This window comes from Homo sapiens, chromosome 5 (assembly GCF_000001405.40).
Source record: "Homo sapiens chromosome 5, GRCh38.p14 Primary Assembly".
In the NCBI taxonomy this organism is placed as follows: domain Eukaryota; kingdom Metazoa; phylum Chordata; class Mammalia; order Primates; family Hominidae; genus Homo; species Homo sapiens.
In genome coordinates this window covers 96,326,928-96,353,411 of record NC_000005.10, presented here as the reverse complement: position 1 = coordinate 96,353,411, position 26,484 = coordinate 96,326,928, and the positions used below count along the sequence as shown (strand labels likewise).

The following is a 26,484-nucleotide window of genomic DNA, read 5'->3' as shown; positions in this document are numbered from 1 at the left end:
CACAGCAGGATAAGGAAGGAGGAAATCAAGAGTGCAGTTAGGTCATATAAGTTTGGATGCCACTTAAACATCTAAGTGGAAGTGATTAGTAGGCAAATTATATACACAAGTCTGGAGTGCTGTACTAGCTAAACTGAAGATAAAATTTGGGTTTGTTTCTTCACTTTCCTACATCCCCCATCTAAAAAGTATGGTTATTGTTCACCTGCTTTTATAGGTAATGATAAAGTAAGTCTTGGTTTTTGTTTATGTGCTTGTTCAAAAATAAGTCTTCGAGTATTGTTTTTTTTTATCAATCAGTATTTGTAAGTTTTTGCCTCTTTCTGGTATTGTCCACAAATCCTGACCATGCTCATGTAAGACTGCTGTATTAGTCCATTTTCACATTACTGTAAAGAACTACCTGAGACTGGGTAATTTATAAGGAAAAGAGGTTTAATTGACTCACAGTTCTGCATGACTAGAGAGGCCTCAGGAAACTTACAATCATGGCAGAAGGCGAAGGGGAAGCAAGCACATCTTACATGGCAGCAGGAGAGAGAGCAAGGGGGGAAGTGCCACACTTTTAAATCATCAGGTCTCATGAGAACTCACTCACTATTAAGAGAACAATATGGAGAAAATCCACTCCCATCATCCAATCACCTCCCACCAGGTCCCTCCCCTGACATGTGGGTATTACAGTTTGAGATGAGATCTTGGTGGGGACAGAGAACCAAACCATATTAACTGCATACCTGTCCAGAAAACCTAAGCACGTCTTACCAAGACTTTGGTTCCTTTATGCAGATTTATTTTATTTTGATAATTGTGTTAAAAGGAATGGTGTTACCCCTGTTGGTGGAAATAAATTCTTCCTACATAGAGAAAAAGCTAAAACCAGATCTCCTATCACACTGAATCATGGATGCCAAGATTCTCAAGCAACAAAATTTAAAAAGCCTTCTGAAACCCTTAGAAACAGTTGCCTGGTACATTGCTAGTCAATTATGTTATGTTCAATTTCTTGGAGCCCCTTCCACAAACACATATACAAAGCAATGAAACGTAAGCAAATTTCATGAGTCAGGTGAAGTAACTCCTGCTTACTTTCTTCAAAGTAACACTAAAGTAAGGTCCTGATTTTATCCTCTCACCAGACGTTTTCCCATCAGACTTTTGAATTCACTTTACACATTTCACTTTGAAGAACACAAAAAGAGACACAAAACAAATTCTTTCTGACCAAAAAGACATGTATAAACATGATAAAGTCTTAAGCACCTTGGAGAAAGGCTCTTCATGAACTTTCTTGAGTTCCAGCCAGTCTTTGGCCATCACAGTATGGGCAGATCTGATAGACCTCTCTAATATTCTAAGTGTTGGGATGGTCCTCTAAGATGTGACTGTATGGTGAGGTACACTCTAGAGGCTAATTCCAGACAAGGAGTCACAAAAATACCCACCCAACAGTTATTTTGGTCTCTGCAATTAAAGGCATTTCGGTTAGTTAACTTTTCTGTGATCCTTTTAGAAAATCTGGAGAACTTTCCATTTCTTTCTACATTTATTATTTTGCACTCCCAATTTCTCCACCTTCTTCTCTATCCCTAAGCACTTAAAACAAAATATTTGATCATTTTTATAGCAGTATATAGTTAAACATAAAAGAACAGTGAGTTTTTTTCACCAATTTCTAGTGACAATTTAAAGACTGTTTTCTAACAGTTTTTTCTCATTACACCCACACTACCTTTCCCCTCAGTGTTTCTTTCTTGTAAAAATGACTCCAGATACGTAATACAGGTGTGCAGTAGACATATACCCTTAACAAACTGAGATAGCTTAATTATACTGGGATAACAAACAACCCTACATCTCTGTGGCCTAAAGCAGCAAAGTTTATTTCTTGCTTATAATACATTTCCCTCATGTGCCAGTTGAGTGTTCTGATTTCTGTCACTTTGTCCTCACCCAGAGACCTAGCCTGAGAGAGTGGACACAATCTACATTACCCATTGCTGAAGCAATGTGTAGAGACAGTGTGGCAAAAAATGCACTGGTTCTTAAACTTCCACCTGAAAAGGACACGCATGCCACCGCCATTATATCTCTTTGGCCATAGCAAGTCACATGGCCAAACCTAAGGGTCAGATAAATACAAATTTTTCTTACAGGTGGGGCACTGAATATTAGTAAACAGTTATACAATCCATTATACACACTCAACTACAGAGTTATGATGTTATGTGTTTTTATATCAAAATCCCTAGTAATAGAAGAAATTCCTGTTCACTTTGTCTAAGTGTTGTTTAGAAAAACATCTAAATTCTGAGATTCAAAGTCCTAAGTTACTGTCTCAACCTCACTCTGTATGTTTGGTTAACAGCTAATGGTTTCACATTTTGTAGATAAATAAAGGTCATCATCTCATTAAATGGATATGTTTCAGACCACAGAAAAATGCATGACATGGTTACCAAGGTTCTTCACTTATAATGAAGGTCTGAAAATGTCACCAGGGGAAATCAAGAGCCATTTTCAAGCTGAAACAATCAGTTCCAGTTGTGATTGTGCAATGATAATTACGCAGTTGTGTTCTATTCCTCTTCCCTAGTGTTATGGATGTCAGGAAATGTGCTGTTCCTTTTAACATTAACTCTTTATGGCTCAGAAAGATATTTGGGGGCACATGGAGAAGGAGGAAGTTGGAGTGGAATAGTGAAAAATGTGTGAAAAGAAAATAAATCTCGGGACCCCAAAATCACTAAGCCAAAGAAAAAAGTCAAGCTGGGAATTGTGTCAGGCAAACCTGCCTCCTATTTTATTTCTAAATAAGATAGCCACAAAGAAAAAAAAGCTACATATGTCCCTTACAATTTGCCCACTAGGAAATTCCTTGTGGGCTCCAATATCTTCACCCTAAAACAATTCTGTTGAATTTTACCCTGACAATGTAAATTGACAGCTTATCTTCACAGGTGGGGGACAAAGGACAGAACTTTGTCCTCCCTCTGCTCACCTGAGATAAATGGATATCTGATTGCTTACTCTGATGTAAAATGCAGATTTATGGAGCCAGATGAAGGCATAAGTGACTATTCCTCTACCTCCTTCTCATACGTAAATTGTGTATTTGGTGAAAGGCTGATCAAAGACTCAAAAGAGTGCAACTGTTTGTCTCTTATCTACACACACCTTCTAACAATTTATTTCTCTTTCCCCAATATTTGCTTTTTCCCTTTAAATACTGAAGCCCTTAAAATTATCTTTGGAGAAAGGCACAGACTTGCCTCCTGGGCACACATCATTAACTTTGGCAAAATAAACTTTCTAAATTGATTGAGACCTGTCGCAGACACTTTTTGGCTTACAAACATGAGATCAGGAATTATGACCTTTCCAGTATAATTTGACAAATCAAGCAATTTAGTCGATTGTCAATCAAGTGTGTGTTATCTATCTAGTTTACTTCATCACCACGTTTCTATTCCTGGTCATTTGTGTAGATTAGACTGATGCTATTTCTCACCTAAGCCACTGCACTAGCTTATTCCTTTCCTTCTTGCCTTCAATTTCTCTCTCTCTCCATTCCAACTTCCACATAGCAGCTATTTTACTAAAGCTCAGTTCTGATGGTGAAAGTTACACAAACAGAAAGGAGTTTACTGGCTCCCTGTCACTTACAAAATAATGTCCAGTTCCTAAGCACACCCTTTCCTCAACAACTACAGGTCAATCTACTTTTTAGTCTTTATTTTCCAATGCACCTTCTTAGGTTTAATGAAGTATGCAATTGAAAATAGTGAAATTTTTTCAGCAGCTAACATCCTCTTATTTTGAAAGATACAAATTTATCTATTCTTCCTTATAAGTGTAAATGTCTTGCTGACGCCAAAGAGTTTTTAATAGACTCATGATAACAATTAGGCCTCTTGATACATATGAAAGACAAAAATACCTGCAGTTGATCCTTGATGAACAGTTACATGTGTTGCATCCAAAGGCTAAAAGTAGATCTTTTTAAAATTACAGCAAAATAATCATGCCACAGAGAGGTCAAGGAGAGAGAAGTTAATAATATTTAATTATAATCACAGGAAAATGGTGAACTCTTAATGCCCAAACATGAATATATTCTTAAAAGCAGTATCTCAATTTAGACCAGAGCAACCAGTCAACTTAAATTCCAGCTGAGATTTATTTTAGTTCAATTTTGCAAATTGTCCTAATTGAATTCCCTTGGATAGGGAACAGTTTATACTGATAACTAGCAAAAAAAAAAAAAAAAAATAGTGTCCTTGTTGGTTGAAAAGAAAAATGAGAGAGAGACCAGAAAAAAAAAATTATAGAATATTTTGTTGGTTTGTGTAATGTTCTATGTTTTCTCCTTCCTGACTTAATCCCTGTCCTTCCCAAACTCCCAAAATCTTCATTTTACTCTTCAGAAACCCCAGCTCTATGAAACAATTCTTCTACATTCTCAAACATGTCTTCCTTGCACTTTCTGCTCATAATTAACCCTAACTTCCCATGTGGAACACCACTTCCGTTACAGCCCTTTTGATAGAAGTGGCATATTTCCTAATTCCCCAGGTATCTCAGGGCTGGAAGTGGGTTCATGTTCCAGACAAATATTTTTCCAGCCTCTGTAAATCCTGGACCTGCTGAGTCCAGGCTTACAGTCTCTGTCTTCCTCATTGCCATTGCCATCTGCCTCCTCTGTACACCATCTGTCCTTTCTTTCAGACACTGTCCACCATCCTCAATCCTCTTACTTTCTCCAACCCATGAACTCTTAGCAAATGACCCTGTCTTCTACTGGGGGAAAATAAACCATCTGATTGGAACTATATAGCCTCAACTTCCCACCATCAAATCCCAAAACTATCATTTTCTCCACCTTTCTGTTGCAATATGGAGATTGTCCCTTACCATCAAAAGCAATTCCTTCATCTGGACTTAGAATCTTTTTCCCTAGAGTCTTCTCCTTAGGAATCAGGCACCAACAAATCTCTCTATCTCTCCCTCTCTCTCTCTCTCTCCCTCTCCCTCTCTCTCCCAGGCCTCCTTCAAACTAGCATTATTCATGTCTCTCCAAATTTAAAAACAAAACAAAGAGTAGAATAAAATATTCCCTTAATCCTATAGTCCTTTCCATCCATCATCCTATTTCTTCCCTTCCTTCTTCTGTTACCTTTCTTTACTTGGCTTTATTTACTTTCCTCCAACTCTTACTCTAAATCTGGCTCCTGGGCCCACCATGCCACTGATACTGCCCTTGACAAGGTCATCATTGACCTCCATGATACTACATCCGATGAATGCATTTGAACTTTTCAGCTTACTTAATGACTCAGCATCTGCCAATTCAATGAAATAATCCTTTACTTAAAACATTGTCTGGCATCATCTTTTGAAACTCGATTTCTGTCTTATTTGTAGGCAATACTTTCTCTATTAATCATTAACTATTGGGGTTTGGGGGTTTTGTAGGGAGGGCTCTCTCTGAACTACTGTGTTCTTCTCACTTCACCCTCTCTCCACATCATCCACCCTGATGGCTTCATAGTAGACACGGTTAGTGGCTGCACAGCTCTCTTCAAATCATCTTTACCAGTCTCTGTGCCTCTTCCCTGGTTTTAGTTCACTTTTGCTCCCAATGACCCTTCAGAGGATTTCCTGTGGGGTTTAGAACTGGTCTTATTCCATTGCTGGGATGACTCTTAGGAACTTGGTGTGGGATGATAAGGCTGACTCACATTAAATGAGGTGGAGGTACCAGAGTAGTCTTGCCAGAGTTCTAAGGAAGAGATTCAAAAGCCCAAGATGCAGGTATGCCAAAATGGTTCTGTATAATAACTGAGGACCCGCCAGTGATGAAGGAGAGAAAAAAACCAAGGTCTGATTTACAGATAGACCAGCTTGGTATGCTAGTACAAACAAAAATAGACTGCTGCTGCATGACAGAGGTCCCAGCTTTGAACAGGAGTGCACCTGGTCATCCACTTTGTGTGAAGAGAGTGGCTTGAAGGAAGGATAAGCACGGACTTCTGAGCAGTGCAGAATGGATCATTTGGAATTGAACTATTTGGATTGGAAGATTGGGAACAAAGAGATCTGGAGTAGAAACAGGTTCATGGACCCATAGGAATGGGCAAACTGTGTATCATGCATTAATGTCCATTAGGGAGTATTCACTGTAGAAGAGGCTCTACAAAACTAGATGGACAGGATGACTTGACTGGTAAATGTCAGGTAGCCCTGGCCACACCAGGGCTGGCACACTGGGCCTCCTCAAAGAATAGTCACGGATATTCAAATGGAGGCTCTGCGTGAGCCCAGTGGAAGGGTCTCCCTCCCACCAATGCTGATCTAGTTACTGCCACTGCTGAAACCCGTCTGAAAGATGCCCAGTATGCTATCTCTCAAGAAGACACCATTTAGTTGCAAATAATTCCTTTTCTACCTTGAAAAGAGAAGTGATTTGTCTTATCCAGGAATAGCATATTTTCTGGGTATAGGTTTGCCTTTCTGCCCGCAGTGCCTCAATTCACACCTACTATTCAAAGACTCACAGAGTACTTGATTTACTGACATGGAATCCTGAATAATATTGCATCAGACCAGGAAGCCAACTTATGACAGATGGGGGTCACAGAACAGGTGCGTGAGTATGGAACCCACCAATTCCCACATACTGTATAGCCCAGATATTGCTATTTTGATAGAGATTGGAACAGTTTCTTAAAGTCACAACTGAGGTGCCAGCTTACAGACGATACATTATGAGGTTTGGGTGTTGCTTTAGGATGTAGTATATACCTTCTACCAATGGTCATTATGTGGTACTGTGTATCCAGTGGTAGAATATACGAATCCAGGAGTCAAGGGGTAGAACTAGAAAGAGTCTGTTCACTTCATTCCTACTGACTCACTTGTTATTTGGGAAATTTGTGCTCCTAGAAACTGGACCTAAGACAGGCTTCAATTACAATCTCTACAGTGACAAAAGCCAAATCCATTATCTGATCCACAACTTTCTTATAAGCTCAAAATCTGAATATCTAACCACCTGCCTGATATTCAAATTAGATGCCTCACAGGTACTTGCAAGCTAATATGTCCGAAACAGCAGTCACGATCTCTGCCTTCCTGCAGAATATCATTATAAGTGAATAGTACTGCCATCTACTCAGGAGCTCAAGCCCGAAATCTGGAGTCTTCTTCAAAATTTTTTATTCCTTTATCTACCATAGCCAATCAACCATCATGTTTTAGCAATTTTATTCTTCTAAATGTCACTCATATTTTGCAATCGGAGGATGTTAGCCTACTGGCACCACCCAAATGCAAACTCCATCATTTCTCAATTGGATCATTGTGACAGCCTTTATGGTGGCAACCTCTAAAATGGTCCCCAGTGATCCCTGCCTTCTGATGTTCACACTGTTGTGTAATCCTCCCTACTTTTGCTTCCAATAAATAGAATACAGTAAACATGATGGGATGTCACTTTTACATGGGTTACAAAAACACCCTGACTTTCATCTTTCTCTCAGTCTCTCACTTTCTCACCTGTGTGGAAACAAGCTGTGTCATCTGGGTCACTCTGCCCTATGGAGATATGACAAGGAACTGAGGGAAGCCTCCAGCAACAGCCAGCAGGGAACTGAAGTCCCTAGTCCAACAGTCCCTGAGGAACTGAATCCCACCCATAGCCACATGAGCAAATGTGGATTCTCCCTCAGTTAAGCCTTCAGATGGGAGAGCAGCTCTGGCTGACATCTCAATTACAGCTTCATGAGACCCTGAGCCAGTGATACCCAGCTAAGGAACTGTACACCCAAAAAAGTGAATTTTACTGTAATAATTTTTAATTATGGGAATAATATAGTGTTTCTTAAGAGATACTGTAGCATGCATTTGCACTGAGTTAGACGTAGAAAGTGAAAGGACAGATCAAAGACAGAGCAATTATAATGGAGCCCAATGCTAAGTCGAAAGCTCAGAATAAGCTCAGAATCAAGATACAATCTCTCCAACCACAAATCTCCTGTTTCTGGTAGATTTGTATCAGTAAAATAGTGTATCATCCAACACATGTATTAAGCAAGCATAGATTAGGGACTCTTCAAAAAAGAGTAGGTTAGGTTAAGACTCTTCAAAAAAGAGTAGATTAGGTTAAGAAGCTCTTTTGGGAAGAGAAAAATTAGCGTATATCTGGAGGTCACTGAAGTTTGCTGAAACCATTGGGGCCAGTGAGACTGGTAAGACTCCTTGTTAGATATCATCTCCCATGACAATAACAGACTGATTAAATATAAAAGGGAGATCTCAAAATTCTAAACTGGAAAAGAAAGCGATGTGCAAAATACAAATTGAATTTCATTTCCATATCTACCCTCATACACATAAGCACATCAAGCCAGAGTAGAGCAGCAGAAGGGAACAAGGCAAGACTTCGACCAAATCATCTGTGTTCAAATGCTGACCCCTTGTGTCTACAAGTCATTATATCACGGTATTCTGTACTTAACCATGTGGTTTTTCAGCTCTATTTGTGTAAGCAATAATGAAAGAACCAATGCAAACAAATTTGAAATATAATTCAGCCTGGGGAATTGTACTTGGCACAGAAAATGTGTTGGCTCTGCTTCCATTCACCTCTGCCTACCTGCCATCCACCTGGTAGGTATTAGTCACTTGTTCCATTTCTCCCAAGAAGAAATACAATCATCAGATGCAAATTAAGCCAGCATATCCCCCACAAACTTAAGCAAAAATAAATGAAGACTAAAGGAAAAGTAGAGTATGTTTAATTTCTCACTAGGTCAAGGTCTGATTGTGAGAATAGTCTGATTGTGAGAATATTTACTCAGCCTGCTACCTGATTCGCATTCCTTTGAATCTGAATTCTTTTCATGGCACATGAGCCACTGCTTGCTTTCATGGTTAAGTTAATGTGTGAATTTGCTTCTCACACAATTTGATTGATGTCTTGCTTGGTCTTGGAGAGGTAATGAGATTACCACTTAAAAAATATAACCATTAGTACATGAGAAAAAAAACCATATTTGGAGAAATTGTCAAATGTTGCATTTACTCATCCATTCATTCCACACATTTGAATATATCCATGGCTATAAGAGAATAATCCTTGATTCCTTCCTCATCCCAATGCCCACTTCCCTCCTATACATACAGACTCATCACTAGAAACTATGTCACTCTTCACTATTGCTTTAGGGCTTGCGGTACTAGCCTTTGATATTGTCCCTTGGCCAGTCTTCCTACACACCCAAAATGTAGATTTGACATAAAGCTGCCAGCCTGACAAAGGCAGGACTATTAGTTCTATCAAGGTCACAAGGGTAAGTGTAAAATTACATTCAAGTAGGGGTTACGATCCAATTCCTTCAGTCATTAATTCATTCAACAATTATGTATTAAACATTGGTTTATCTAGACCCTACGATGAATAAACAAAGATGCTTGCCTTCAAGGAGCTCATCTTCCAGCTGAAGGAGACTGATGGTAAATTTAGAGTTAATTAGTGAATCATATAGTGCAGTAGAGCAGGATAAAGTAGATCAGCAGGAAGAGGTATACAATTTTAAATACAGTGTTTGATCAAATTGAAGACATCAACATTTGTAAATCACACCATTATTTTCTGGACCAGTAAGAAAAATAATGCCAATTAAATTGTGCTGCAATGCCTAAAATGGTAGTTCTGTGGCTTTGAAATGCATTTCATAAATCAGCAGGGATCTGGCAATTTCTTCTGCTTTCAGTTGCAATGCTTAGGAAGTTAAAGGCAATCCTTTGTGTGTTTCTCAGTAGCAAAATGAAACTCAGCTTCTTCTCCTTACAGGTAGCCTCCTTAGGCAAGCCCTGTAAAGCACATAGCTGTTGCTTTCAAAGGCAATGTAGAAATGAAAAAAGAAAAGCATGTTAATATTAACATCATTATTTTCAAACTAAACTCCTCTCAACCCCCTAAAAAGGTAGCAAGCACCTTAATTTCAGAAAATAGAACAGAACTTTAAACTGAAAACATTTAACATCATTTTATTAAAAAATCAATAAGTTGTCCTACTTTCTCATTTTCCTATCTTTGGTTAAAGAATTTATTTTGGCTAGGTGCCAGTATTGTGAGATCCATTTGGAAAATTGCAATCTACAGCTGAGGTCTTTAAATTTTTATCTTGTGTACCCCCTAAAAGAATTTTTAAAATCTGTAAATGTGTTTTTTTTTAGTGAGGTTAAAGATTTTCATCATCATTTTAACAATTGCAAACTATGTATGAGTGCATTGTACATGTTGCTATTTTAAAATAAAACTGTTAATAGCTCTTTTTAAAAATATGAAATTGTGATCATTCTTCTAGAAACAAAATATTTCCTTCAATACCAAATGTAAGCTTCATTGCCCTATTCCCACACCTTTCTTCATACACAATAACTTTTTGTCTCAATGCTCAATTACAGTATCATAATTTTAAAGACATTTTAAATGGCAATGGAATCAACTTATGCGGTACCAAAAATGCACATAACTCAGTGAAGCAATGATACTATGAACAAGTACAACAGGATTCCCGTAGGCTCAGGGCGTTTGTGGCATGATTGTGAAACACATCCCATTTTCAGAGATGTGCAAATGTGGGAAATAAAGAATTGAGGAGATATGGCTGGGTGATCTCAATGAGAAGGAGTCATACGGCTAGCTATGAGGGAAGAACCAATCTATGCTAGCTTGCAAGAAAAAGAGAATTCAATTCAATCTTATGTATGGGACTAGCTGCCTTTCCATTTTATAATTAGGGTCTGTCCTTTGACAAGTCTCCAAATAGACCTGAAATATGGACCTGGCTTAAAGGCAGGTAGGCAGAAGCCAGGCAGCAATGCGTCTTCTAAGGACAGTGGTTCTCCAAGAGTGGCTTCCAGATCAGCAGCCCCAGCCTCACCTGAGCACTTGTTCAAAATGTAAATTCTCAGGCCCCAATCCAGCCCCGCTGCATTGGAAAATATGGGGGTGGGCCCAGCACTCTGTTTTAACAATCCCCAGCTGGTTTCCATATGTGCTAAAAGTTGGGGAACCACTGCCTCAAAAACACCCCCAACCAACAATGAAAAAGCAGATGAGTTAAGTTTTTCTGTTTATTTCCTTTTTATTATCCTATTTGTCTATGAAGTCATATTTAAACTTCCAGGCTCTTCCCATGTGTCCTCAGAGGAATTAAGGAAGGAGGCCTGTGTTTGCTTGAGCCAGAATGTCCAGGAGGGCACACCTGGAGGGCATCATGGTGGTGGTGGCGGCAGCCACTCTATATTAGTGAGAATTAGTGAGGAAGAAGAATCTTGGGGAATACAGCCTTGGATTCAGTTTGGTCTCACATTGAGGACTGTACATTACCACCATCACTTGTTAAACTTAGGGGATTTGAGTTGATTTTATCAAGGAATTTTTTTCTAAGGTAAAGGTAATTTTTGGTTGGGAGAAGCTATTAAATCCACGAAATCATATTGTGAGAAAGTTCTTTTCAACTTCCCTGTACTCATCATACTGTCTAGAGAAAGTCTCCATTTAGTGTATTCAACATATCTTTAACACTTAACATAAGGAGAAAAAGATTTAGGCTCAGTGCCGTGGTAGGTTCATGTTCCTAGCTAGAATTCAATAATATTTTATTGTTTTTACCATTACTTCTCTTCCTGGATATCATTTATTATGACAGAGGATACTGGTTTTCCACTTGAAGTCATTATCTGAAAGTTTAATCTAAAGAAAGTTTATTTAAGTAAAACAAGCACCATTTGAAAGAAAAACACCCAGAAAGGGATAATAGAGGTGGTTTAAGGATACAGTATGTAAATGGGAACCACTATATTAAGAAGACTGTGGGTTGTTATCCTGGCACTTACACTAATGAGACTTCAAATTCAAAAAGAAAATTGTTATTTCGAATTTGACCTTCAGGCTGGCTTTCAGGTTTCAAACATAGTATCTTGAGCCTTAGTGAGTTATACACTGATTTGTAAAAAACAAAACAACAAACCAAAACCAAGCAGGGTGGAGGGGTGGGGTGGAGGGTGGGGGGATGGGAGTGGGCAGGAATGAAAGGAGATTGTGATCAAGATTTCTAGAGTAACATTTTTTAAGATGAAAACTTGAATTAAATGTATGGTAAGTGATACTTTCTAATGACAAGGGGACAAATAAGAAGACACAACTCTCCATTACTAAGAGCAATTAAAGTGCAAATAATTCCTTCTGAGAATCATGATTATTTACATGCTGGATACAAATTATCCTTCTGCATAGAATCTCACAGGCATTTGGATTTAAGAAAATCTAGTTTTATTAGTCCTAGGATCAGGATTTCTCTACTGAACTATTTCTGTTAACTGTTTTTCTAACTTCATATGCATCTGAAGTATACTCACTGAAGCTTCCTTAGACAAACATAGCAATGGTAGATTTTGACTATGAATTACAGACTATTTCATGTCCATTATCATTCATTTAGTAACGAGCATCATAAGTTCAGTATATAGACTTACAGCTGTAATGTAAGTTAATTTCTAAATGGAAAATAGTCATAGTATATACTGCGTAGAGCTTGGAGCAAATCTTACAGCTTACTGTTTTGGAAGATGTGAAAGTTTCTTGTAAAGTCAAGTAAATGATAATCAAAGTGGGAAGCAACATCCTCCTTTGAAGGGTGATGCTTCAGTGTGAAGAGGTTATAAACTGGGGTAAACAACAACAGCTCTTAGGCAACAAAGGAGGATTTACCTCGATTCTTCTCTGTTGGCCATTGCTCCTACCGGGACCTGGCAGTCAACGGAGTGAACAAACACATCACGAATATTACTGGATTTCAGAGTCTATTAGGAGCCAACAAGCTGATTCAATCCTTACTAAAAACCCACAGTTCCAAAGATTCAAAGCCAAGATCACTGAATTACTAACTCATTAAAAACGGAAATAAAAATTGAATCAGCCAAAGCAACTCAGAACAAAGATGAAAAACAAGTTAACCATGGTGGGGAGGGTAGGGGGAGAGTGGGGGTTGAGGGCAGAAGGGGCGAGCTGCTTTCAGCATCAAGTTCTTTCTACAAAAGGACCTGAGCTGAAATGAAACAGTTTGCCAGAGGCTTCTAGAGATAAAGGTGGACTCCCGCAGAAAATGTTCCAGATCCTGGGAAGACAACAGCGCAAATTAGATAAGAGTGTATCCTTGTTTAATAGTTGGCATTAGATGCTGCAAAATATAACCTTGAGGTAAATAGCAAAGACATGGCTTTCCTTCTTTCTCTTAATACTGACTGCTTAAAAAATTTTGCCCAGTCATTGTTTCCTGTCCGATTACCATAAAGTCTTTCTGTGATGCTTTCCTCATTGAAAGGCCATGAGTTCAGGCAAGACTTTTAAGTGTCTAGGGGTTGAAGATAGGATCCTAACCCACAGAGCTCAAGGCACTTTGTCTCTTTCCACCTATAGCCTGTCTACCTGTCTCTCTCAGGAACCTAGGAGGGATTCTCAGAGGGCCACCCTGGGGAGATAGCCACACTCAGTTTACTAGGTTTACTGTGTTCTCTGCAGCTTTGGGCTCAGAGGGTCAACTACTCGCTCTACCTGCAAATCAAACACAGAAGAGTTCCTGTCCTCAGCAGGACTCACCTTAGCTCTCCTCCAAGGACAAGTGTATCCATAACTGGTATGGATACACTTGCATTTAACAAGGATATTTGTATTATTTGGCTACATGCCTATGACTTCAAGTTTTATGTTAGGTGTCCTTGTCACTTAAACTCTGGGGCTTTGTCCAGATATAACTGTGTTCTTCCAATGAAACAAATTTAGATCTCTTTGCACTTTTGGGTTTTCCCCCAGCTCACTGTGTGATTTTAGCTTAATCACTTAATTCTCCCACTCTTCCATTTCCCATCTATCATGTGCAATGTTATGACCAATAATTAGTGAATGGCAATAACTTGAACTTACAAAAGGCCTTCCTTCCAGGAAACTCACAATACTTCATGAGGGCTAGTTGGTATCCTTCACAAAACCCCAGTGAGAAACGTTTTGCTTTTTATACTGTTTTTCTACTTGGTTCTATTTTTATAGATGCACCAAGAAGATTAAATAAGTTTCTTGGGGTCGTATGTTATCTTGGTGTCACATATTTTCTTGGTAGCATGTTATCAAAAGCCTTTGATGGTGCTCTTCTGGCAATGCTGTTCAAATCAAGTTGCACAGCTAAAGTACTTAGTGTTGGTAACTGGCAACAATCAAAAACTATAATAATCACCCGTAAAGCTGGAGACCTGGCCCCTCATTATGTTAGCACATATTAGGAAATATGTTTTGCTACTTTTTTCTTCCAGTAATGGTTATTATTTCCCAGTCAAATCCAAGTTCTGTTGCTGTTACTGAAATGGAGCAGAGTGCCCATGAGCCAATGCCTGGCAGTGCACTCCAAGCAGCCTCCACTGTCACAACACAAAAAACCAAACCATCTACAGAGCCAGAATGGCACACAGAGGAAGACAGAAACATGAGAAGTAGCCTTGCCAAAGTCCAAAGGTCTGAGCAAGAACACCAGGAGCCAAGTCTCTAGAGCACAAACAACCAGGCAGAAGGGCTCCCAGGAACAGGATGTTCTGCGGCATTTCCAAAAACCCCTGGCCTCTGGGCACGGCATCCAGAGCTCACCAAGCACCCTCTTCCCAGGGGTTCGCTTCCAGAAAGAGAAATATAATATACTTTGGAATGAGCAGCAAGCTATCCACCAAATCACATTTCTACTTATTGAAAAGTGAATCTCTTTAGACTAAATCTCAGAGCAAAGTTGTTTGGGGGGAGAAGTGATGTGATCAACTTTTCCCACTCCAGACTCAGAGTTCAATACTTTCTATTATCTAAATATACCTGTTTAGGCCTTGTGAGTTACCTATATTGTAACCACTACCTACAGAAATTTACAAGTTCTAATAATACCATAAACAAGGATTACAAAGGAAGAAGGAAGGAAAGAATAGGATAATAAATGAAGCAAAGTATGAAGAAAGCAGAAGTAAAACAGCATAAGGCAGCATATAGCATTAAGTCATAAGTCAAAAAACGATGCAGAGTTTTTGAAACTCTCAAGAATATTTGAAACTGAAATTTGAAGTGCATAAATGCATTTGAAATATGAAAGCAGAATAAAAATAGGTTTGTTGTTTTGTTTGTTGAACGTTTCAACCTAACAGAAGATGATGACAGAACTTCTTAATGATTATGGTCTAACAATTGTTGTGTCATAACTTTCAGGAATAAAAACATGGACACTGTTAGTAAAGTCAAGTCTATTTACTCCTTTCATTTCTCATTCCAAAGCTTTCATCCTAGCTGTGCCTCCAGCAAGGAATGCTGGATAGAGTAGGCTAAGACAGAAAAAAAAAATTAAAAGTTTTCCTTAGCTATAGAAACATAAGGAAAAATTTCAAGTACTAATGTTTTATATGTGTTCAAAATGTTAGAGGTATTCTGTTAGGTTCATGTCTTTGCTAATGCCCAGAGGACTTTGTAAAGACAGACAGTAAACTAATGAAGAGAGAAGTAAAACCATTGATTTGATGTCAGAAATCAAGTCCAAAGATGTCCAGATTTGTAATGAAGAAAAAGGTTCAGGTTGCTGGATTCCCAGCACAGCAGTCCAGCTTTGAACTTGGAGGAGGTAGATGCCAAAGAGGACATTAACATTGAACTCCACAGAAGTGAGCATCATAACCATGGTGCACAGATGTGGCTACCTGCATTACAGAAGATCCAGCTGGTGTCCCCAGATCCCTCCAAACATGTGTGGAATCACAGGAATTCAGACGTCTTGTTTCCTAGCTACTGTGTCCTGAGCTTTGCGGCATCTTACTTCCAGTGTTACTACGGACATAAATGGTGTCCTAATATTTTTTCCCTTTCTTCAGTGTACTATGAAGTTCAATGTCAATTGACATAGTACCATAATAAAGTACATAAAATATAATTTTACCTATAATTCTTTAGTATTATATGAGCATACAGAGACCATAGTTGGTTCTTACCATTAAATGAAAGACTTCCTTTTTTTTCTCTCTTGATTGAAAATAGAAAAGGGGAAACCAGGCTAAAAGGGGTTTGGGTCAGAGCTTAATGGCATATTAGGGTGTCTATGGGTGTGTGTGTGTGGTTGTGTGATTCATTTCCACTCTCATGTCAGAAGAGACCCTTGGAATCAGAGTAAGTTTTACTTTGTTTTAGCTCAGTTTCGCTTTCAGGGTTCTATGATATCAGGGTTAAATTCATCCATTTAAATTGCAAGCCCAAATGTTTTCCAAGTGTCTTTTTTTCAAATATGTTTCATCTAACATTGTAAAGATCAAACGTAAACTCCTAGCTTCTGCAAAACAGCTCTTACCCCAGGGTCTTCCATATTAAATATTTACTGAATTAATGAAACTCTTCCCAGTTTTACTCCTAAAACATACTTTCTGGTGATTCACAGTTTTGAAGTGTGATCTTCTACTACTTGATTAACAGACATGAAATCTAAGTCCTCAGATATTAAAGGAAGAACCGGGACTAAAAGTCACATCTCCTGACTCCAAATTGAGTGTTTTGAGGTCCATCACATGCTTTACCCCAAATCTCTATTCCCAAAGTAAATTAAAAATGTGTGACTCAGAATTAGACATCTGGAAAAGCATTTTGGGGACAAAGAACAGTAATAGTAAATGTCTACAGCAAAACCTCACAAGAAACTGCAGAATGCCTTAACACTGTGGGTTTGATGTGCTCCTTCCAATGGGAACCTCTAGAGGGCAGTCCACTCTTCATAACAGACAAGTTCTGCCGGGTTTACAAGAACTCTGGGAGCGAAAAATCTAAAATGTTTGGCATACTTTCTAACAGCTTTCAATCAAACAGGGCACACAAATATCTCAGGCCCAGTCCAATTTTTGGCTGCGTTGGAGAAGAACGCGACTTAACTATGTATTTAGCTATGGGTTTTTTCTCTTTTTCCCTCTCTCCCTAAGCATGAAGGCTCTAATGTTTAATATGAAATGAACTTGAAACTTCCCTTATAATACTAACCTAATACACTGGAGTAAAACATATTTATTGGTAAATGTGCAAGTAAAGAACAGAAAGAGAACAGAAGACTTGCAGAGAACTACTGCCGGTTGAGAGTTGGAGTCAAAATAGGGGGCAGCGGGTGGTAGGAGCTAAGGTTTAAGAGATAGACAAGGGACAGCCCCAGGAAAGGAGGTTGAATTTCCTTGTGTAGATTCAGAATGACTTTAGCAAGAGAAGGACTGGGTCAGATTACTGTTTTGTATATGAATCATTCAGGTAGCTCTGGAGAGAGAATGGAGTGGGCCAGGTCTAGAAACCAGGAAGCCAATTGAGAGACTGTTATATTGGTCCAGTTAAAAGAAGGTGCATTTGAGATAGGGTAGTGGTGGTAGGAGTGGAGTTGAGAGGATGGGTTTGAGAAATGCATAGGAGGGGAAAACATCAGGATGTAATGATCAGTTGGATAAAGGGAGTGAGGAGAAGAAAAAAGTCAAGGCAGACATTTTATAACTTTTGTCACTGGGTAAAGAGAAGGTAACAGAACAAATAGAGGTTTAGGTTGGAGGGAAGTGATACATGTAGCTTTTGAGCAATTGAATCCGAAATGTCTGAAGAGTGCCCAAGAAAAGCTGCCTAGCAGGTGATGGAATTGGTGAGCCTAAAGCTTGGGGGAGAAATTGGAGATGGAGATTGAACTAGACAGTCATTACTATACAGATGGTAGCTGAAATCCTGAGTGTAGAAAAATCCACCCAAGAAGAGTATCAGTAATGAGAAGAGCGGTAGGCTAAAACAGAAAGGTAGGTAACCCCAGCATGTGGGTGGTAGATGGAGGGAGAGGAGACCATGGTTGGGAAAGAACAGAAACAAATGAGGCAAGCTGAGAGAATATAATATGACTATCATAGAGAGTGAGTGGTGCACACAAGCAACATGGCCAAATGCCCCAGAAACATACAGTGAGACAAAGATTGGAAAATGTCCACTGAATTTTCCAGCTACAATATGGGTGGCCTTACCAAAAGCAGAAGCCAGATTGCAGGGGATGCAGAGTGAATGGCACATGAAGTGGTCACACTGAGTATAGGTAACTCTTTAAAGATGTTTGGATGAAATAGAAGAAGAGATAGGACATCACTAAGAGGACATGGGGGTCAAAGGTAGACTTCTTTTTTAATGAATGGGAAGGAGATGAGTAAGCTTGTAGTCTGAAGAGGACATACCCCTGCAAGAGGAAAGGTGGATGTTTCAAGAGGGAGGATGGCTGTGGAACCTGGTCTTGGCATGTGTAACTGGGGTCGGCCTTGAACAAAAGGAGACAATGCATCTTCTGAAATTGGAGGACGATAATGCAGGGTGTGAGTGGAGCTCTGTTCCTAGGCATGGGTGAGGCAAGAAATGGAAGGCGCTCATGCTCATTTGCCTCTATAGCAGGATAATGAATTTAGATATCATTTTTGATATTGCATTTATACTGTAGCAGAGTCTCCAGTGGATGAACAAGTCAGCCCTTGTATTGTGCGCTCCTGATCTTGCCTCCAAGGGTAAGGATCACTTTTGTGCTTCTAGGTGAAAAACGAGTTTCTGGGACACTGAGGTAGCAGCTCCATCCTAGGCTTTTGTTTGAAGTGGTTATTTAATTGGGATTCTGCAAATAGTCACTACTATGCCTACTGTGTGGCTATATTCATACCTGAGGAAGTGGCATTGTAGTTGAAGGAAGTGAGTGACAGGACCGTGGGGGTGACTTTTCTGGAACAGAGAAAGGGGCCAGTGGCAGAAAGTTGTGCAGCAGGCTGAAAACCAGGCCCTTCCAATACAGTTCCCTGAAGATGGCAGAACCTCCGATGGTGTGGCTTATAGATGTGCAGGGTCCTGAGTTTCCCAGTAGTGAGAACCAGGCCACCTCACCCAAGTTGCACTAGGGGTGGAGGTGGGTGGGTGGGCTTAGGAATAGAACCTCCAGCCTTTAAATGGACCTTTCTGGCCCAGCCAATAAACAACTAAGCAGTGACTGTGATAGGCTAGAGAAAAGAGGTCTCTCCTAGAATTTTCTGCACTGAGCAATCCTCCAAGGATGCCTGACTGCCTCTGGAGAGCAGAACCTCCAATAATGACTGCTACTGACCCTTGCCACACTCTGGAGGGAGAATTTCAAACTTGAATTAACAATGAACAACAACAAAACTGTGCTATATGACATTTCTTGCACCTGAGTATTATAAAGAAACTTCAGCCCTAATACAACTCAATTTTCTGAACAAAGTAGGTAGCAAGTTTGCTAATAGTGAGGAGCATATGAAATGGGTGTTGAAGTGAGGGTCTGAGACCCATAAAAATATTTTTAAAATATAGAGTCTTGGACTTACGAACTCAAAGAATGTTGATGTTGGAAGGGACCTGCTGCTTGCTCCAGTTGAAGCTGCACTGTACTCCTTTTGCATGTATTTTTAAAATCAGAATAAATGAAGCTCAGAGAGGCTAAGGGTTGCATGTAACGCCACACAGCTTAGCAGAGCTTCAGCCTGTTCTCTCTCATTTTGCCTTCAGTTGGAACAGACACCCTTTCCAGAGCCTCCCTGAGCAATCACTGTGCTGAGTACACCCCTCGCCCACCAGTATTGCTCCGCACAGAGGCCTCCCCAACTCCAGGTCTCACCACAGAAGCTTGAGCAGTCCAGTTCCCTACCCACAGCTGACCTCCAACAGCAGGAAGAAGGAGCTTCAGCTTTGGACCTGGTCCCTGGCCCCACCTGACTCCAGGAGGCTGCCCAGATCAGAACAGGGAGGATGCTGGTTTCAGTCGGGAAGACCAAGCAAGAAAAAAAAGGTGAGAAGGCTCATGGGGCCCCATTCCTTTCCATTCACTTCACTCACACAGGAGGAAACTGAGGCCTCCCAGCAGGTCAGAGACTTGCCCGGCCACCTAGGGCGTCTAAGTCAACAGGAAAAGGCTGCTCATTCTGGTTTTTCTTTTTCCAAGCCTCTTTTCCAAACATAGAGCTCCTCATCTGACCGTGCAGAAAACAGCAAAAGCCTCCCTGTATTAAAGTCCCACCAGGAACACACTGTACAGGTCACTCTAACTCGGGCACACACTGAGTCCTGGAAGTGCAGACAGAGCCAGAGGAGCCCCAAGCCCCTGCCCCTGTTAACTGGGTCACCGCTTCACACCGAGAAGTGGGAGGGGAAAGGCAACAATTTGCACTTCGTTGATGGGATATTAATGGAATCAGGGAATGGCAAGGAGAGACGCTATAAAAAGACAAGAACTTCTTCCCTTATAAAATTGGCAGCTCAAGCCCCAGGTCCTTAAAGAGAGAAAGGACAAACAACAAGGACCAAGGCAGCAATCAGCACGCTGAGCGATAGTGGCCAAAAGGAAACCACCTGGCTGGAGTCAAAGGTACAGATGGAACCCAAGCCAGGAGACCAATTTGTGTGGAGGAGGGAAAAACAGGGCTGGGCAGAGCCAGAAAAGGCTGTTAGGATACCTTTACAGCAAACTCAAGCCTCAATGGGGTGTATGTGAAGGCGTGGGACAGCTCGGCAGGTCCTTGTGGAGCTGCTAAGGAACCTATGCAGTGTCAGCAGTTTGAAGTGTTAGCCGGACAGTTTTCTTCATTATCCTCCCCCTGACTTGCACCTAGAGATAAAACTACCCCATCATGTCACATTTGTAGACGTCCATGTCGTCGCTCTGTCCTCAAGTTTGGACTCACATCTCAGTTTCTGGGACTTGTAAGAACAGGTATCTCAAAGGAAGGCACAATATTCTGCATGCAACATGATTTTAGACGTACACAACCATTTTTATTTTAATATATTTTTATCATCACCCACTACTTAGGATAAGCAATATTAATTTTATTTATCATTTAAAAATTTACTAAAGTAAAAAAAAAAAGCCGAAATCAATTTAAAGAAAGAAAAGTATTCCAGCAAAATTAATGAAGGTGATACACAACAGCCATAAGTCTGGGAAACGCTGCTCAAGGTACTCCCAAACAAGGGGCAACATTGGCTGCAGAATGAGCTGTGTCTCACCATGAGCCTGAAGGAAAAATACAAGGCTGAAACATGGTCTTATAATAAATGGTGTGAATTCTCCTACCCTCCGTGGCTACCCCTGAGGTTTGTTTTGTTTTGTTTGTTTTGGGAGAAGAAGGCTTTTATTGATCTCTTGTATAAACTTTCCAGATGGGCATATTTGATTTTCCTCTTTTACAACTGGGGGACTCTGAGGCCTCCTTTATCCCAGATCACTTACAGAGCCAGTGATTAGGTGAGCCATGAGGGGCTTCTGGCTCCTAACAAAGTTCTCTTATAGAAGAAGCAGAAAAGTGTCAGGAGTGACTGTTCCACCTTCTGCCAATGACATGTTGACTGTGTGATAAGAAACAAACTTTGGCCCATGAATGATTATATCCCCATCTTTCCTCTCCATATCACTATCATCTAAGGCTGAAAAAGCAAAACCAGTTAGACAAGGATTTAATCCATAGTAATCTCTGCATTGAAAAGCCTTCCAAATCTGTGACATTTCTGTCTATAAACCCACCAGGCAGGGATAGTGCCAGGATAAAGATGAGATTCAGTAAATATGTAATGTTGTCAACAAAATAATCTCCTTAAACTCTGACCTTTGATTCAGCTAGTTACTTGCAGAAAATAAATAAAAACATATTTAAAAAGCATGTTTTTATATGCTGGTGAGTATATAAAAACAAGGAGAATAAACTGCAATACAGCATGAGCTGATTGATTGAACTGAAAAACAGGAATGATTTGGTGTTTTGCCTAAAATAACTGAAAACATGAATGATGTAGTATTTTTGTTTAAAATAACTGAAATGTTTTTCAACAAGTTGATTGAGTTCATTACTGCTGTTGGTACAGGCTCTGCCTGTGTTTCCCGGTTGCATAACTTAGAAGTGGGGGATGCCACATACTTCCCCTTTGTCATCTTCTCCTACCTCCTCCTTCGGTTTGGTTTCATGGAGTTCTGTGTGTAAGAAAGGGAACAAGAGTAACGGAGGTAATCTGACATTTAAGGAAAGATAAAGGAGAACTAGATGTGGAATCATTAAACTGGGTTTTAGTCTCTTCCCCTGGTCCTCAGTTTTCTCATGTGTAAAATAAGGTGATAGGACTCCTGAGTCAAGGTTTCTTAACCTGTAGTCCACACCCTCAGCTACATAAACCTTCTAAAACTGAACATAAAAATCTTTCCTGGAAATGGAATCCATAATTTTTATCTGATTTGCAAGTGTCATCAACTGTTGTCCTAGATTATTTTTAAGGTCACTTCCTGATCTAGTATTTTATTATTGTCACAGGCAGAAAATCCCAGCAGATATGCAGTGGCATGGATCCAAGTGACAGAGATGAGCACAGAAGTTACTGCTTTCCTTATTCCTCTCCTGATGCTGAGCACCCATGACTCTTCACCCTCTCCCGAAGTCACTCCAGGGTCCACACACTCATACATAATGGGCTACCTTCTCAAAAGAAGGGAACCCTGGGTTCAGAACACAAGACATAATACCTTTGCTGTTATGAAATCATGAAAGAATTCTTGGATGTTCACAAACTAGATTTGCCCAGCTCCCACAACATCTTATTTTCATTAGCTTTGACTAAAGGGAAAATTCCTCGTGACACTGTCAAGGGAAGCTTTAGAGCGACTGAAGTCATATGCTGATTGTTAGAAGCTTCTTAAAAGCATGATTTTCGTTGCCATCTAAATGTATAGAGGCTGATAAACTGCATAGGAACTGGGGAAAAAGGGGTGAGAAGAAGTAATAATAAAACGACGAGCTATTGAAAAGGTGTGACCATTAAAAAATCCCCAACTGATACATTTGTCCATAAAATGAAGCCCCTTGAGACATCACCATGTTTCCTCTGTTCTTACTAAGCTAAGTGAGAGGTGAGTGGGCACTGAACCTTCTCCCTTCCTCACTGACACAGAGATGGTGGGGGAAGCCAAGGGGAAGCACCTCTCTTCTGTCCACATCTTGGAGTCTGGCTAACTCTTACCAAACAAGGGAGAAAATATGTCTTAGGTGGAACCATATAAAACTGCCATCTTTGTAAATGGTCTTTTTAAATGGTTTTTTAAAAAACCATCTTTTTAAAAAATGGTCAAATATCAGCAATTTCATATGGTTCAACTATGCAATATCTCCAAAGCAGGACATCCTAACCATTTGGGTAATGACAAGGTGTTCCTGACTCATTGTTCTTTGGCAGAAATGACTAACTCTGGAGAAAAAGACAAGAGATGGGTAATTCACTGTGAAATCAAGTTGGCCCATTCTTAATGATTAAAATAATGTCCTAAAAAGACAGAAATGTTTAACTTCCAAGATATCTTTTAAACCAACCCAGAAAATAGAGTTATGCTTCTTACAGAATTCAATTTAACAAATCTCTGCTCAGAGCCTAATTTGCACAAAGCACAGACTGCTGAATATAGGAATATTTGCAGAGTTTCTTGAGATTAATCTGATAGTGAGGGAGAAATCCTTCAATACATGGAGAATAGCTAATGCCACAGGAATTATTTGTTAACAAAGAAAGGCATCTGGGTCATCAGCACCATTTCTGAAATTGTTAAATCTTGACAGTAACGATTACAGCTTTGTTAGGAGCAGAAAATGTCAGGAGCATAAAGAGTAGCCTGACTTCTCATGTTAGTGCTACTGGACATGAGGCCTTCTAAAGAAAGCAATAATGCAGTAAAATAAGACTCTGGCTTTGTTATTTCTAGCTGCAGCTCCCCAGGGAAACTGGGCAGTGGGGCCTATGTTCTAGGGGGGATCCCTGTAAAATTTACAGCATCTGTGGGCAGGAGCAGGGCTCCTGTTGATTGACATTCCTAGCAAGGCCCATCTGTTTGTTCAGCTTTTTCCTGAGGGAGCCAGAAAGGGCTTGCTTCAGTTTCTTATAATGAGTTGAAATTCCTAATAAGAGAAAGCTTTGTGGTTGAGTCAAAATATTAAGAGAAGTAATATGCTGACATTTTAAAATTCACAACTTTCACCAATTTAAAAGCACACGTTATCACACTGTTTTCTTAACATTTCTCTTCCTGGTGCAAAAGTGAGGCTAATTGCACTCTTGCACATACCCAAGTGGTTTCAGAGAGGATCCAGGGTCTCCACTGGACCCTCAGTTATCAATGAATCCACAAGCATTACTGCTACTAATAGAAGATGATAGATAGTAATAATAATAAGCTTGTAATAATAAGGCCAGCTAAAACTTTATGCCAAGAAAGAAAATTTAAGATATGATTCTTGCCATATGGGTTGGAGAAAAAGAATTCATAAATTATTTTAAAAGTTACTAAATAAAACACAGTTAGGACATTCTTCATAATTTCAAAATATACCATATGAATAATAAATGCCATAGGGCTAAGGAGAAAGGGAATCTCAGATGGAAACTGGAGGGGTCTGGAAATAACTGAGGAGGCAGAGCTTTACCTGATGATTTCTTGTTTTGCTTCGCTTTTCCACAATGAGAAAGGGAAGGTAAGTTATACCCAGTGAAGAACCAGGATCAAGAAGCAGGAAATGGCATGATAGTTAGAGCATAGAAGAGCTTGGCTGGAAATGAAGGGTCAAATATTTTTCTTGGAGGAGATAAAACCTAACTAACTCAAGTCTTAAGTCAGATGGTCTGAAATGCTATTGCAGGTCATGTCACATCTTTTCTTGCAGTGAGCGAGTGAGAAAGACTGATGGTTTGTCAATCTTTTTCTCCATTAAAATAACTGGCACCGAATCTGCCTTGATTTCTGCTCCTCTGAAAAGTGTACACAAACGCCCAGAAAGGAAACCTAGTAGCAAATGGATATTCAGTTCTATAGCCATGTCACAAGGAGAGAGAGAGAGAGAGAGAGAGAGAGAGAGAGAGAGAGAGAGAGAGAGGGAGAGAGAAGGAAAGACAGAGAAAAAAGCAAGCTAAATTCATTGTTAATGCTTCTGACCTGCAAAAACAAATCAGAAGATAACTCCATCCAGTGCAATAAAACACTCATCCAGGCCTTCTGGGCAATTCCCTGGGATTTGGGAACCCAGTAAGTGGCCTGATGGAGCTGACAGATGCCATGAGTTTTTAACATTTTTCAGAAGAGCAGTTAGAAAGAAATAGTACCTGGGATCTTTAATCGTCAATGAAAATGCCAAGGAAAGCCCAGCTTCACAAGAATGAAAGCAGCAAAAGAATAAACAAAAGTTGATTATTTCAACCAAAGCTACATGTGTCCTCATTTCAGAACCAGTTGAGTTGCTGGTAGAGATCTGGGCTCATTAGGGGCATCTGGTGGAGGAAGCCGGATGGCAGGAAAGCAGAATAATCATCTTCATAATCACTAAGATTTGTACAGCACTTTACAAATTGTAAGGCACTTCCAAATATATGATGTAATTTAAAATGCCCAAGGCTGAGTGAGATCAACAGAGTGAGTGTTATCCTCATTATAAATACACAGAAGCTGCTGGTGCATAAGGGACTGCCCTAAGTTATCCCTAGAGTGAGTTGTTGAATCGCTCTTCTGATCTCTGATCCATTGGTCACAGAATTGTCTTCTCTACCTTAGAAGCACAACACAGTTAAAAGACACATGCGAAGAAAACCTTCTCGTTTATTTTGTGCTAACCCAAGATGTCTCTAAGTGTCTTGAAAACTTTATTACTGATTCTAAAATTATATTTTCAGCCCATTATTCCACTGAGTGTTGGGGGTCACTCTGCCGTTTTCAAGGGGAGAGAATTAACGTCCTAAAATACTATTTGTAAATCATGAATTAACATCTTTCCTGTAAAAAGGATGGCACTGGTTAGCTACCATTCTTGAGAGAAATGAGAAAATAGTTCCTCAAATAATTTTCTGTGTTCTGTAGATTGAATAAGGATCCCAGTAGTATACTTTATCTTTGAAGGAGGAATCCCTTGGGGATCAGAAGGCAGTATCATGCTTTTTTCTCTTGTGTGGCTACTGCAATAAAAGTCATGATAATGATAACAATTACCATTTATTGAGAAGTCACTATATGCGAAAAACTGTAGTAAGTCCTTTACACACACTACCTGATCTAATCCTTACAACAAATTTGAGATTCAGGTGTTATTATTATTACCACTTTACAGATGACAAATGTGAAACTCAGGAAAGTCAAATAACCTTGTCCAAAGTCATACACGGAATAAGAAACAGAACTGAAATTAAACTGAGATCAGTTTCACTCCAAAACCATCCCCTTGCCCATGATATGCTCTCATTATAGATGGCAAACTTTACCATTTCCATTGCTGCACAAGGTGATTGCTTCTGCTCCATCCCCCTTCAACCGTTCCAGAGAAGGAACAGCTACCACTTCTGAG

General features: G+C 39.8%; 1 protein-coding gene and 3 long non-coding RNA genes across 15 annotated transcripts in view; 1 reads left to right on the top strand and 3 right to left on the bottom strand.

The window, feature by feature from the left end:
* The window catches only part of CAST (calpastatin), an 813,255-nt gene that overhangs the window by 421,272 nt on the left and 365,499 nt on the right, over positions 1-26,484 (bottom strand). The gene's annotated exons all lie outside the window — the stretch shown is intronic.
* The window catches only part of LOC101929710 (uncharacterized), a 669,085-nt gene that overhangs the window by 277,674 nt on the left and 364,927 nt on the right, over positions 1-26,484 (bottom strand). The window lies entirely within an intron of this gene.
* Positions 9,063-26,395, bottom strand: LOC107986365 (uncharacterized). Its single transcript, XR_001742457.1, has 2 exons — positions 24,583-26,395; positions 9,063-9,897 (listed from the first exon to the last, which is right to left on the bottom strand). It is a non-coding gene; the product is annotated as an uncharacterized LOC107986365 (long non-coding RNA).
* LOC124901034 (uncharacterized) lies at positions 19,646-22,985 on the top strand. Its single transcript, XR_007058881.1, has 2 exons — positions 19,646-19,919; positions 22,429-22,985. It is a non-coding gene; the product is annotated as an uncharacterized LOC124901034 (long non-coding RNA).